Below are 14450 nucleotides of genomic sequence, written 5' to 3' on the forward strand. Positions count from 1 at the left end.
CCCTGATGAACATCGGTGCGAAAAATTCTCAATAAAATGCTGGCAAACCAAATCCAGCAGCACATCAAAAAGCTTATCCACCATGATCAAGTTGGCTTCATCCCTGGGATGCAAGGCTGATTCAACATATGCAAATCAGTAAACATAATCCGTCATATAAACAGAACCAGTGACGAAAACCACATGATTATTTCAGTAGATGCAGAAAAGACCTTCGATAAAATTCAGCATCCCTTCATTTAAAAACTCTCAATAAACTAGGTATTCATCAAACATATCTCAATAATAAGAGCTATTTATGACAAACCCATAGCCAATATCAGTGGGCAAAAGCTGGAAACATTCCCTTTGAAAACTGGCACAAGACAAGGATGCCCTCTCCCATCACTTCTATTCAACATAATATTGGAAGTTCTGGCCAGGGCAATCAGGCAAGAGAAAGAAATACAGGGTATTCAGATAGAAAGAGAGGAAGTCAAATTGTCTCTTGCAGATGGCATGATTCTATATTTAGAAAATGCCATCGTCTCAGCCCCAAAACCCCTTACGTTGATAAGAAACTTTAGCAAAGTCTCAGGATACAAAATCAATGTGCAGAAATCACAAGCATTCCTATACGCCAGCAATGGACAAGCAGAGAGCCAAATCATGAATGAACCCCCATTCACAATTGCTACAAAGAGAATAAAATACCTAGGAATACAGTTTATAAGGGATGTGAAGGACCTCTTCAAGGAGAACTACAAACCACTGCTCAAGGAAGTAAGAGAGGACACAAACAAATGGAAAAATATTCCATCCTCGTGGATAGGAAGAACCAGTATCTTGAAAATGGCCATACTGCCCAAAGTAATCTTTTTTTTTTTTTTTTTTTTTTTTTTTTTGAGATGGAGTCTCGCTCCATTGCCCAGGCTGGAATGCAGTGGCATGATCGTGGCTCACTGCAACCTCCACTTCCCGGGTTCAAGCAATTCTCCTGCCTCAGCCTCCCGAGTAGGTGGGACTACAGGCATGCACCACCATGCCCAGCTAATTTTTTGTATTTTTAGTAGACACAGGGTTTCGCCGTGTTAGCCAGGATGGTCTCGATGTCCTGACCTCGTGATCCGCCTGCCTCGGCCTTCCAGAGTGCTGGGATTATAGATGTGAGCCACCACTCCTGGCTGCCCAAAGTAATTAATAGATTTAATGCTATTCCCATCAAACTACCATTGGCATTCTTCACAGAATTAGAAAAAACTACTTTAAAATTCATATGGAAACAAAAAAGAGCCTGTATAGCCAAGACAATCCTAAGCAAAAAGAACAAAGCTGTAGGCATCACATACCTAACTTCAAACTATACTACAAGGCTACAGTAGCCAAAACAACGTGGTATTGGTACCAAAACAGGCATATAGACCAATGGAACAGAACAGAGACCTCAGAAATAACACCACACATACACAACCATCTCATCATTGACAAACCCGACAAAAGCAATGGGGAAAGGATTCCCTATTTAATAAATGATGCTGGGAAAACTGGCTAGCCATATGCAGAAAACTGAAACTGGACCCCTTCCTTACACCTTATACAAAAATTAACTCAAGATGAATTAAAGACTTAATTGTAAAACACAAAATCGTAAAAACCCTAGAAGAAAACCTAGGCAGTACCATTCAGGACATAGGCGTGGGCAAAGACTTCATGACAAAAACACCAAAAGCAATTGCAGCAAAAGCCAACATGGATTCTAATTAAACTAAAGAGTTTCTGCTCAGCAAAAGAAACTATCATCAGAGTGAACAGGCAACCTATAGAATTGGATAAAATTTTTGCAGTCTACCCACCTGACAAAGATCTAATATCCAGAATCTACAAGGAACTTAAGCAGATTTACAAGAAAAATAAACCATCAGAAAGTGGGCAAAGGATATGAACAGACACTTCGCAAAAGAAGACATTTATGTCTGTAGTCTCAGCTACTCGAGAGGCTGAGACAGGAGAATTGCTTGACCTGGGAAGTGGAAGTTGCAGTGAGCCAAGATTGCGCCACTGCACTCCAGCCTGGGCGACAGAGTGAGACTTTGTCTCAAAAAAAAAAAAAAAAGGACATTTATGTAGCCAAAAAACATATGAAAAAACCTCATCAGTTGGGCGCGGTGGCTCACGCCTGTAATCCCAGCACTTTGGGAAGCTGAGGCAGTTGTGGTGGTGGGGGCCTGTAATCCCAGCTACTCGGGAGGCTGAGGCAGGAGAATCGCTTGAACCTGAGAGGCAGAGGTTGCGTGAGCTGAGATTGTGCCATTGCACTCCAGCCTTAGCAACAAGAGCAAGACTCCGTCTCAAAAAAAAACAAAACAAAAACAGCTAATCACTGATCATTAGAGAAATGCAAATCAAAACCACAATGAGATACCATCTCATGCGAGTCAGAAATGACAATTATTAAAAAGTCAAGAAACAATAGAAGCTGGCAAGGCTGTGGAGACATAGGAATGCTTTTACACTGTTGGTGGGAACGTAAGTTAGTTCAACCATTGTGGAAGACAGAGTGGCAATTCCTCAAGGATCTAGAACCAGAAATATCATTTGACCCAGCAGTCCTATTACTGGGTATATACCCAAAGGAATATAAATCATTCTCTATAGAGACATATGCGTGTGTATATTTATTGCAGTACTCATAGCAAAGACATGGAACCAACCCAAATGCCTATCAGTGATAGACTACATAAAGAGAATGTGGTACATACGCACCATGGAATACTATGCAGCCATTTAAAGAATGAGATCATGTCCTTTGAAGGGACAAGGATGAAGCTGGAAGCCATCATCCTCAGCAAACTAACAGAGGAACAGAAAACCAAACACTGCATGTTCTCACTCATAAGTGGGAGTTGTACAATAAGAACACATGGACATAGGGAGGGGAACAACATACACCGGGGCCTGTCAGGGGGTTGGGGGCAAAGAGAGGGAGAGCATTAGGACAAATACCTAATGCATGCAGGGCTTAAGACCTAGATGACAGCGGGGTGCGGTGGTTCATGCCTGTAATCCAGCCTGGGTGACAGAGCAAGACTCTGTCTCAATTAAAAAGAAAAAAACAAAACTAGATGACGGATTGATAAGTGCAGCAAACCACCACGGCACATGTATACCTATGTAACAAACCTGCCTGTTCTGCACATGTATCCCGGAACTTTAAAATTTTTTGAAAATTCAAGTTTTCATTAAAAGAAAAAATAAAAGGTACTAGGCAGCTGGGCGTGGTGGTGTGTGCCTGTAGTCTCTGCTACTCCGGAGGCTGAGGTGGGAGGATTGCTTGAGCCCAGGAGTTTGAGACTGCGGTGAGCAGTGGTCACACCACTGTACCCCAGCCTGGGTGACAGACCTTGCCTCTAAAAATAATAATTTGTTTGAAAATTGTAGAAATTTAAAGGTACTAGACAAATTGAAACAAAAACAGAAAGGAATATTAATCATATTAATAGCAGTTGAAATAGAATTTAAGGTGAGAAGCAAATTGTGTAATTATCAGATTTCAATATAAAGGAGATATAATGACCAATCTTTATGCACCAAAGCACACAGTTGCTAAATATGTGTAATACAATTAAAACAGAAACAAGAGGACCTTGGTAAAATAGTGATAGTGGCAGACTTTTCTCATAAGTGGATAAATCTAGTAGACAATAAAGACATATACAAAAATTACAGTCAATATAATTGATTTAATAGATGTTTATGCTCCTTAAGAGAATATACATTTATTGCTATGGTTCAGGAATATTTGTAAAAATTGAACATGTACTTAGCCACAAAGAAAATTATTTTTTATTAGCCGGGCAAGGTGGCATTTGGGAGCCCGAGGCAGGTGAATCATGGGGTCAGGAGTTCAAGACCAGCCTGGCCAAGATAGTGAAACCTCTTTTCTACTAAAAATCCAAGAAAATTAGCTGGGTGTGGTGGTGTGCGCCTGTAATCCCAGCTATTCGGGAGGCTGAGGCAGAGAATTTCTTAAACCCAGGAGGCGGAGGTTGCAGTGAGCTGAGATCATGCCACTGCACTCCAGCCTGGGTGACAGAGTGAGACTCCATCTCAAAAAAAAAAAACAAAAAAAACTAGTAAGACCCTGAACTCAGTAGAAGACTCAGTGATGAAAAGGTTTATAAGAAAGGCTTTTTTTTTTTTTTTTTTTTTTGATGGAGTGTTGCTCTTTTGCCCAGGCTGGAGTGCAGTGGCACAATCTTGGCTTGCTGCAACCTCTGCCTCCTGGGTTCAAGCGATTCTCCTGCCTCAGCCTCCCAAGTAGCTGGGATTACAGGTACACACCACCACACCTGGCTAATTTTTGTATTTTTAGTAGAGACAGGTTTTGCCACATTGGCTAGGCTGGTCTCGAACTCCTGGCCTCAAGTGATCTGCCTGCCTCAGCCTCCCAAAGTGCTGGGATTACAGGCATGAGCCACTGTGCCTGGCCAAGAAAGGCTCTTAAACATATAAAAAGTTGCATAACTTCACAGTAAAAGAAAAGCAAATGAAAACCACACTGAGTGACAGATAAATGCAGTAAGTTAATCTTGATTGGATCCTGGACTGGAAGAGATGCAATATTTTGGGTAAATTAGGGGAAATTTTAGTATAGACTAATATATTCAGGGGTCAGTGATCTTTTTCTGAAAGAGCCAGATAATAAATACTTTGGATTTTGCAGACCTTATGGTCTTTGATTTATCTACTGACCTGTTACAGCACAGAAGCAGATGTAGATAATACCCAAGTAATGAGTGTGGCTGTGTTTCAATTAAACTTAATAAAAACTGGCAGTGGGCCATACTTGGTCATTCATGCATTAGATGATATTAGTAAACTGATGTTAAATATCTTGTGTGTTCAGAGATAGTGAGATTGTGGTTATATAGGAGAAAACATCTAAAGTAGGTAGGGGTAAAATATTGTGATTGATGTCTCCCTCCAAAAAAATTGTACAAGTATATGCAAAAAAATAAAAAGCCAGGCAAAGTGGTAGGTGCTTATAGTTCCAGCTACTCCGGAGGCTGAGGCAGGAGCATTACTTGAGCCCAGAGGTTTGCTTTAAAAAAAAAAAAAAAAAAAAAAATATATATATATATATATATATATATGTCTACACACACATACATATGTGTGTGGGGAGGGGTTTTATAAGAATTGGTTAAGCTGAGAGGAGGAGGAGCAAGATGGCAGAATAGTACCCTTCAACCATCGTCCTCCTGCAGGAACACCAAATTGAACAACTATCCATGCAACAAAATACCTTCATAAGAACCAGAAATCAGGTGAGTGATCCTAGTACCTGGTTTTAACAGCATCTCAAGGAAAGAGGCATCGAAGAGGGTAGGAAAGACACTCTTGCATTGCCTACACCACCCCTTCCCTATCCCCTGGCAGTGTGCGGAGATAGAATCTGTGTGCTTGCAGGAGGAAGAGCAAAATGATTGTGGGACTTTGCATTGAAACTCCAGTGCTGTCATATCACAATGGAATACAACACAGGGCAGAATTCTGCCAGCACCCATGGAGGGAGCATTCAGACTAGCCCCAGCCAGAGGAGAATCTTCCGCCCCAGCGGTAGGAACCTGAGTTGCAGCTAGTTCCACCACCAGTTGAGTAAAGTGGACTTGGGTCCTGAATAAATTTGAAAGGCAGTCAGGCCACAGGACTGCATTCTTTTGGCACGTCCTGGCACTGTGCTGGGGTCAGAGCCTGTGGATTTGGGGTGCACACAACTCAGACACCAGCTCTGGTAGTGAAGGGATTGCCACTCCCACAACTTGAAGCAGTGGAGCTTGGGGAGGTGCTCTTTCCATTTGGGGAACGGAGAGGAAAGAGTACAGAATATTGTGTCTTGCAACTTGAGCACTAGCTGAGCCACAGTAAAATAAAGCACCAGTCATTCCTGAAGCCTCCAATTCTAGGCCCTAGACCCTGGATGGTATTTATAGCCCCACCCTGGGCCAGAAGGGAACCTACTGGCCCTGAAGGGAAGGGCCCAGTCTTGGAAGAATTTACCACCTACTGAGTAAAGAGCCCTTGGACCTTGAATAAATATCAGCGGTCGCCAGGCAGGAGTTGCCACATGCCTTGGGCAAGACCCAGTACTATGCTGTGTTCAGTTGTGACCCAGTCCAGTGCCAGCTGTGGTAGCCATGGGAGTGCTTGCACCACCCCTCCCTCAACTCCAGGCAGCCCATCATGGAGAGAGAGACTATTTGGGGGAAAGTGAAGGAAGAGAATGAGAGATCGCCTAATAATCTAGGAAATTCCTCTCCATCTTACCCAAGCACACCAAGGTGAGACCTCCAGGAGCCTGCAAGGGTCACAGTCTTACTGGGCTTGGGGCTCCCTGTAGTGCAGATACGGCTGCAGTGACCAAAGACTTAGATTACAACACTCAATTTCCTTTGAATACCTGGAAAGCCTTCTCAAGAAGGACAGATAAAAACAAGTCCAAACTGTGAAGATAGAATAAATACCTAACTCTTGATTGCCCAGACGTCGATGAACACCTGCAGGCATCAAGAACATCCAGGAAGGCTGGGCACCTTGGGTCACGCCTATAATCTCAGCACTTTGGGAGGCTGAGGCAGGCAGATCACCTGAGGTCAGGAGTTCCAGACCAGCCTGGCCAACATGGTAAAACCCTTTCTCTACTAAAAATACAAAAAAATTAGCTGGGCGTGGTGGCGGGCACCTGTAATCCCAGCTATTCAGGAGGCTGAGGCAGGAGAATTGCTTAAACTTGAGAGGTGGAGGTTGCAGTGAGCCGAGATCATGCCATTGCACTCAAGCCTGGGTGACAAGAATGAAACTGTCTCAAAAAACAAACAAACAAAAAAAACATGCAGGAAAACATGACTTCACCAAACTAAAGGCACCAATGACCAATCTCATAGTGACAGAGATATGCAACCTCTCAGACAATTGAAAATAGCTGTTTTGAGGAAGCCCAGAGAATTTCAAAATAACACAGAGAAGGAATTTAGAATCCTGTCAGAGAAATTTAAGAAAGAGATTGACTTTTTTTTTTTTTTTTAAAGACAGAGTTTCCCTCTTGTTGCCCAGGCTGGAGTGCAATGGTGTGATCTCAGCTCACTGCAACCTCCATCTCCCAGGTTCAGGCAATTCTCCTGCCTCAGCCTCCTGAGTAACTGGGATTACAGGCATGTGCCACTATGCCTGGCTAATTTTGTATTTTTAGTAGAGACAGGGTTTCACCATGATGGTCGGACTGGTCTCAAACTCCTGACCTTGTGATCTGCCTGCCTCAGCCTCCCAAAGTGCTGGGATTTGAGTGACCACACCCAGCTGAGATTGACATATTTTTTTAAAAAAATAAGCAGAGGCTGGGCACAGCGACTCACACCTGTAATCCCAGCATTTTGGGAGGCCTAGGTGGGTAGATCACTTGAGGCAAGGAGTTTGAGACAAACCTGGCCAACATGGCAAACCCCCATCTCTACTAAAAATACAAAAATTAGCCGGGCGTGGTGACACAGGTCTGTAATCCCAGGTATGCAGAACGCTGAAGCACAAGAATCGCTTGAACCTGGGAGACAGAAATTGCAGTGAGCCAAGATCATGCCATTGCACTCCAGCCTGGGCAACAGAGCGAACTCTGTCTCAAAACAAACAAACCCCAACAAAACACAAAAAACAAATTCTGGAGCTGAAAAATTCAGTTGACAAACTAGAAAATACATCAGAATCTCTCAACAGCAAAATTGATCAAGCAGAAGAAAGAATTAGTAAGCTTAAGGACAGACTGTATGTAAATACACAGAGGAGAAAAAAGAATGAAGCAAACCTACAAGATCTAGAAGTCACAGGGCAAATCTGAGAGTTATTGGTCTTAAAGAGGAGGTAGAGAGAGAGAGAGAGGGTAGAAACTTCACTCAGATAGTAACAGAACTTTCCAAACCCAGAGAAAGGTATCAATATTCAGGTACAAGAAGGTCCTAGAACACCAAGAAGATTTAACACAAATAAGATTACCTCAAGGCATTTAATAGTCAAACTCCCAAAGGTTGAGGATAAAGAAAGAATCCTAAAAGCAGCAAGAGAAAAGGAACAAATAACATATGAAGGAGCTCCAATACATCTGGCAGCAGACATCTCAGTGGAAACTTTACAGGCCAGGAGGGAGTGGCATGTCAAGTGCTGAAGGAAAAAAACGTTTATCCTAGAATATCATACCCAGCGAAAATATACTTCAAACATGAAGGAGAAATACTTTCCCAGACAAACAAAAGCTGTGAGGGATTTTGTCAATATCAGACCTGACCTATAAGAGATGCTAAGGGGAGCTCTTTAATCTGAAAGGAAAGGACATGAGTGAGCAATAAGAAATCATCCAAAGGTACAAAACTCACTGGTATCAGTAAGTACACAAGAACAGAATGGCTTGACACACTAATTGCCGTGTGTAAGCCATATTTTGAGTAGGAAGACTACAAAGCCTATCAAAAATTATAATTACAATTTTTTAAGCGATAATATAAAAAGATAAATAGAAACAATGGCCGGGCACGGTGGCTCACACCTGTAATCCCAGCACTTTGGGAGGCTGAGGCAGGTGGATCACGAGGTCAGATCGAGACCATCCTGGCTAACACGGTGAAACTCTGTCTCTACTAAAAATACAAAAAAATTAGCCGGGCGCGGTGGCGGGCGCCTGTAGTCCCAGCTACTCGGGAGGCTGAGGCAGGAGAATGGCGTGAACCTGGGAGGCGGAGCTTGCAGTGAGCCCTGATTGTGCCACTGCACTCCAAGCTGGGCGACAGAACGAGACTCTGTCAAAAAAAAAAAAAAGTAGAAACAACAAAAAGTCAAAGAGGGGGATGGAGTTTGGAGTTAAACTGTAGAGTTCTGTTTTCGTTTTCTCTTGACTTTTTTTTTTTTTGGTAACGAGTTATCAGTTTGAAATAGTTGTTTATAAGATGTTGTTTGCAAGCCTCATGAGGCTTTTATTTTGAGGTAACCATGTAACCTCAAAACAAAAAATCTACAACAGGTATACAAAAAATGAAAAGCAAGAAATAAAACTATACTACCAGAGAAAATCATTTCAACGCAAAGAAGGAAGGGAGGAAGGGAAGACCATAAAACAAGTAGAAAGCAGATAACAAAATGGCAGTAGGAAGTCCTTACGTATCAATAATAACATTGAATGTAAATGGACTAAAGTCTCTAATCAAAAGACACAGATTGGCTGAATGGAAAGAAAAATAAGACCCAACCATATGCTGCCTACAAGAAACTCACTTCACCTATAAAGATATACACAGACTGAAAGGGCTGGAAAAACCAGAACTCCTCTTTTTCCATACAAACAGAAGCCAAAAAAAGAGAGCAGAGTAGCTATACTTAATGTCAGGTAAAATAGGTATTAAGATAAAAATTATTAAAAAGAGACAAGGTCATTATATAATGATAAAAAGGTCAGACAATATAAAAATTATGTATGTGTGTATCTATCTATCTATCTATCTGTCTCCACACATACCTAACACTGGAGCACCCAGATATATAAAGCAAATATTATCTGAGCTAAAGAGAGATACCATCACAAAGAAGGCAAGAAAACAAACAAAAACGGAAAAGAGCCAGAGAGAGAGAGAGACTCAACAATGCAATAATAGCTAGAGACCTCAACACCCCACTTTCATCATTGGACTCAAAATCAACAAAGGGCCAGGTGCAGTGGCTTACGCCTGTAATCCTATTAGTTTGGGAGACTGAAGTGGGTGGATTACTTGAGGTCAGGAGTTCAAGACTGGCCTGGCCAACTTGGTGAAGCCCTGTCTCCACTAAAAATACAAAAATTAGCCAGGGGTGGTGGCAGGCACCTGTAGTCCTAGCTATTCGGGAGGCTCAGGCAGAAGAATCGCTTGAACCCTAGCAGCGGAGGTTTTGTTGAGCCAAGATTGCACCACTGCACTCCAGCCTGGGCTACAGAGTGAGACTCCATCTCAAAACAAACAAATGAACAAAGAAACGTGACCAACCAGGGGCGGTGGCTCACGCCTGTAATCCCAGCATTTTGGGAGGCTGAGGTGGGCTGATCACATGAGGTCAGGTGTTCAAGACCAGCCTGACCAACATGGAGAAACCCCGTGTCTACTAAAAATACAAAATTAGCTGGGTGTGGTGGAGCATGCCTGCAATACCAGCTACTTGGGAGGCTGAGGCAGGAAAATCACTTGAACCCAGGAGGCGGAGGTTGCAGTGAGCCGAGATTGTGCCATTCCACTGCAGCCTGGGCAACAAGAGCAAAACTTCATCTCAAAAAAAAAAAAGGGAGGGATCAAGATTTTTTTTTTCTTAGTATACTTTTCTTTTCCAATTTCATTGCTTTGGCACCATTATAGAAAGTCAACTGATCATATATGTGTAGGTCTACTTCTGGATTTTCTGTTCTCTTACAATGATGCCTATTTTTTATGTTAACACTACACAGTATTACTGTGTCTTCATAGTGTGTCTCAAAATCACTGTGAGTCTGGCAGCTTTATCCTTTTTCCAGATTGTTTTGGCAATTCTGAGTCCTTTGCATTTTCATATAAACTTTAAAATTAGTTTGTCAAACTCTGTTGTTTAGTAAGCATGCTGGAATGATTGGGATTGTGTTTATACATTAGTTTGGGGAGAATGGACATCTAATAATAGTAAGCCTTTCAGTGTATGAACATGGTATATATCTTTGCATTTATTTTTTCTCAGTATTATCTGTAATTTTTAGTGTATACATCTTACATATACATTCTTGTTAAATGTATCCTTAAGTATTTCATGTTTCTGAATTGGCTATGAACAGAATTTTAAAAAATATTATCTTCTAGTTGTTTGTATATAGAAATACAGTTGATTTCTGTATTTTGACTTTGTATCCTCTGACCTTACCAAAGTCATTTATTACTTCTAGGAGCTTTTTTGTATATTCTGTGAAATTTTCATAGACACTTATAAGTAGTGACAGTTTTATTTCATTCTTTGCAATCTGTATGCCATTTTTTCCTTGCCTTACTGCACTGGCTAAGACTGGCTGCAGTGTTGAATAGAAGTAATGAGAGAGGACATCTTTCCCTAGTTCTCAGTCTTGGAAAGCATTCAGTTTTTCACTACTGTGTATGGTGTCAGCTGTAGGCTTTCCTATTATTCCTATTTTCCTGAGAGTTTTTAATCATAAGTAAATACTGAATTTCATCAAATGCTTTTCCTGCATCTAAGCAGATGAACCTATGGTTTTTCTTCTTTATTCTGCGAATGGGACCCAAACTGAAGGAGCAGCACCTTTCCTGAGACATGGCAGTCTCACATGGTAGCTCTGAAAGTTTCAATCTGATCGTGACATAACTTCACTTCTGCTTATTACATCCTTTTGATTAAAGCAAATCACATGACAGGACTACACTTCTCTCTTTGGGAGGGCAGAGAAGTCACATGGCAATGGGCAAGTCTGTATAATCTTCTCACAGGGAGGGCAACAAATAATTGGGGTCAGTGATACAATCTGTCATGCACATTGTTCTTAATTATGTGTACAGGTTAAATATCCCTTATTCAAAATGCTTGGGACTAGAAGTGTTTTGAACTTTGGACTCTTTCAGATTTTGTAATATTTGCATATATATAATGAGATATTTTGGGGGTAGAACCAAAGTCTAAACACAGAATTCACTTATGTTTCATATTCACCTTAGATGCATGCCCTAAAGGTAATTTACAATATTCTTAGTAATTTTGTATATGCAACAGTTTATGTACATTGACCCATCAGAAAGTAAAAATGTCACTACCTCAGCCACCCCTGTGGACAGTCTGTGGCATCATGTCAGCACTCAAAAAGTTCCAGATTTTGGAGGATTTCAGGTTTTTGGGTTAGAGTTACTCAGCCTGTATAAAGCTCTATGTATGTCTATGTTAGTGTGTTAGAAGAAGAAAATGATTTGGAAAGATAGGTGAAGTGTATCTTTTTCTGTATTTTCTAATTTTTATACAAAAATCTGTTTTACAATGTAGAAAACATTACTTTTTGAGAAGAATATACATCTGGTTTTATTTACTACTGTATTCTAAATATGATTCCTTGTTTTAGATACTCGGAATTAAAAAAAAAAGGATACTCAGAATTTTTAATCTGGAAAGGAACATTGTTTATTATTTTCACTATTTCCTTCTACCCACCTCACTCCCCCAGGTTTATGGATGCAGAAACTGAAAAGCTTAAGTGATTTTGCTCCAAGGTCATGAAGACTTAACAGAAGATTCATTTAGAGCAGGACACTATTTGAGTATCAGAAAGCGAGAAGGAAATCTTGGGAAATTAGTTTCAGAGAATATAAGGTAGTTTAAAATGTTTTAACCCAAGTAATCACCAAATTATGCTAAAAAATACCTGAGAAGGGAAATTGATTCACTCTTTTACAAATGTATGTGGAGCACTTACTACTTTATCACCCACTCTACAACTGGAATTTTGAGTGGAATAGCAAGCATTTCTAGATTGTAAAGGGATATATATTATGATATAAAATATGTGTTAGGATTGTAAAGGATGCATAAGGTATTATCAAAGATGTTTTTCTCAATTTTGACATTTGAGAGACCCAAGCAAGTAATCATAATAATAACTAAGGTATTTGGCTACTTATAATGTGCTAAACAGAGTTGTATGCATTTTACACATATTCTTTTATTACTCTTAAAAACTTCATAAGGTAGGTACTATTTTCTATCCATTTTATTAGTTGCGGAAATCAAGGTGCAAAGAAGCTAAGGAAATTACCAGTCATGTGACTAATACGTGGAAGAGCCACAATTTGAACTTGAGCAGACTTGCTTCAGAGCCCATGATCTTAACTGCTGCTTATATCATGTCTGTTGAACGAGTCTAACTTGAGCAGACTTGCTTCGGAGCCCATGATCTTAACTGCTGCTTACACCATGTCTGTAGATGCAGTTTCAGGGTCTCACTCCGTCGCCCAGGCTGGAATGCAGAGGTGTGATCATGGCTCACTGCAGCCTCGACCTCCTGGGCTCAGTGATCCTGCTGCTTCAGCCTCCCAAGTAGCTGGGACTGCAGGCATGCACCACCACACCTGGCTGATTTTTTATTTATTTATTTTTCTTGAGACAAGGTCTGGCTCTGTCACCCAGGCTGGAGTGCAGTGGTGCAATCTCTGCTCAGTGCAACCTCCGCCTCCCAGGCTCAAGCCATCCTTTGAACCTCAGCCTACCAAGTAACTGCGACTACCAGTGCACACCACCACGCCCGGTTAGTTTTTGTATTTTTTTGTAGATACAGTGTTTCGCCATGTCACCCAGGCTGGTCCTGAACTCTTGAGCTCAAACCATCTGTTGGCCTCTCAAAGTGCTGGGATTACAGGCGTGAGCCACTGAGCCCGGCCTGATTTTTTATTTTTTTGTAGAGACAGAGTCTCATTATGTTGCCCAGGCTGGTCTCAAACTCCTGGGCTCAAGCAGTTTTTCCGCCTCAGCCTCCCAATGTACTGGGATTACAGGTGTGAGCCACCGTGCCTGGCCCCTTATACCATTTTCTAATACTATGATTCCTTTCTAAACAAGAGTTGAATCCAGGTTAAATATGTATATGAGAAAATGAGGTAAACAAGGAGCCAAGTCTTCAGGCACTTGACACACAGGTTTAGTAGATTAACTGGAAAACTGTACTTTGTATATCTTTATTTTTGTATTATTGTTGTGTATTATAGCTTAATAGTTACAAGCATGGGCTTAGAGTAAGACCTGGGTTCAAATTCTGGTTCATTGCTTCCTACTTTTTTGCCCTTGTGCAGGTCAAAGGTCAGCAAATGGAAGCTGCTGGTTTTTGGTGGTTTGGATAGCCTGTGGTGATGGCTGCATTTCTTTCTCTTTTCTTGATCAGGTGGATTTGTTTAAAAAGAGTCTTCTGTTGATTCCTATTCACCTGGAAGTCCACTGGTCTCTCATTACTGTGACACTCTCTAATCGAATTATTTCATTTTATGATTCCCAAGGCATTCATTTTAAGTTTTGTGTAGAGGTAAGTTAATATACTGCCTATTTTTTCATTTATTTTGTAATTGGCCAAATAGCATCTTAGCTCTAGATAGAACAGCAGCAGTCAAAACCATATAGGAACAGTTTATGTCATGAAAATCCTCCAAAGTGTTAGCTGAGAAAAGGACTAGAAGAGGAATCTCTGGCTGAGGAGAGGATCTGTCTAGGATCCAGATCCCCCTCTGAGATACTCCACTTGGATTTTCTCTGCTTTTCCCTTAAAACTACATCTTGAATGTGGTTAGAAATTGTTTTTCTTTGATCATCTTAGAGCTAAAATTGGCCTGTATCTGCAAAATAACTCCTGTAGAATAAACTATAACCTAATGGAATCAATTGACAAAATATTAGTGTTCAGCTAA

General features: G+C 41.0%; 1 protein-coding gene across 5 annotated transcripts in view; it reads left to right on the top strand.

Annotated features, from left to right (window-relative positions):
* Positions 1 to 14450, top strand: part of SENP5 (SUMO specific peptidase 5) — a 66795-nt gene that overhangs the window by 41561 nt on the left and 10784 nt on the right. For 2 of the 5 annotated variants that reach the window (NM_152699.5, XM_005269310.4), the window contains exon 7: positions 13934 to 14071. The exons of 2 other annotated variants lie outside the window; for them this stretch is intronic. In NM_152699.5, the coding sequence (NP_689912.2) occupies positions 13934 to 14071 (138 nt within the window). Of the gene's footprint in view, positions 1 to 13844; positions 14072 to 14450 lie in introns of those variants that run through there. One more of the 5 variants, XM_047447676.1, reaches the window with a different exon arrangement.

Source organism: Homo sapiens, chromosome 3 (assembly GCF_000001405.40).
Source record: "Homo sapiens chromosome 3, GRCh38.p14 Primary Assembly".
NCBI lineage: Eukaryota > Metazoa > Chordata > Mammalia > Primates > Hominidae > Homo > Homo sapiens.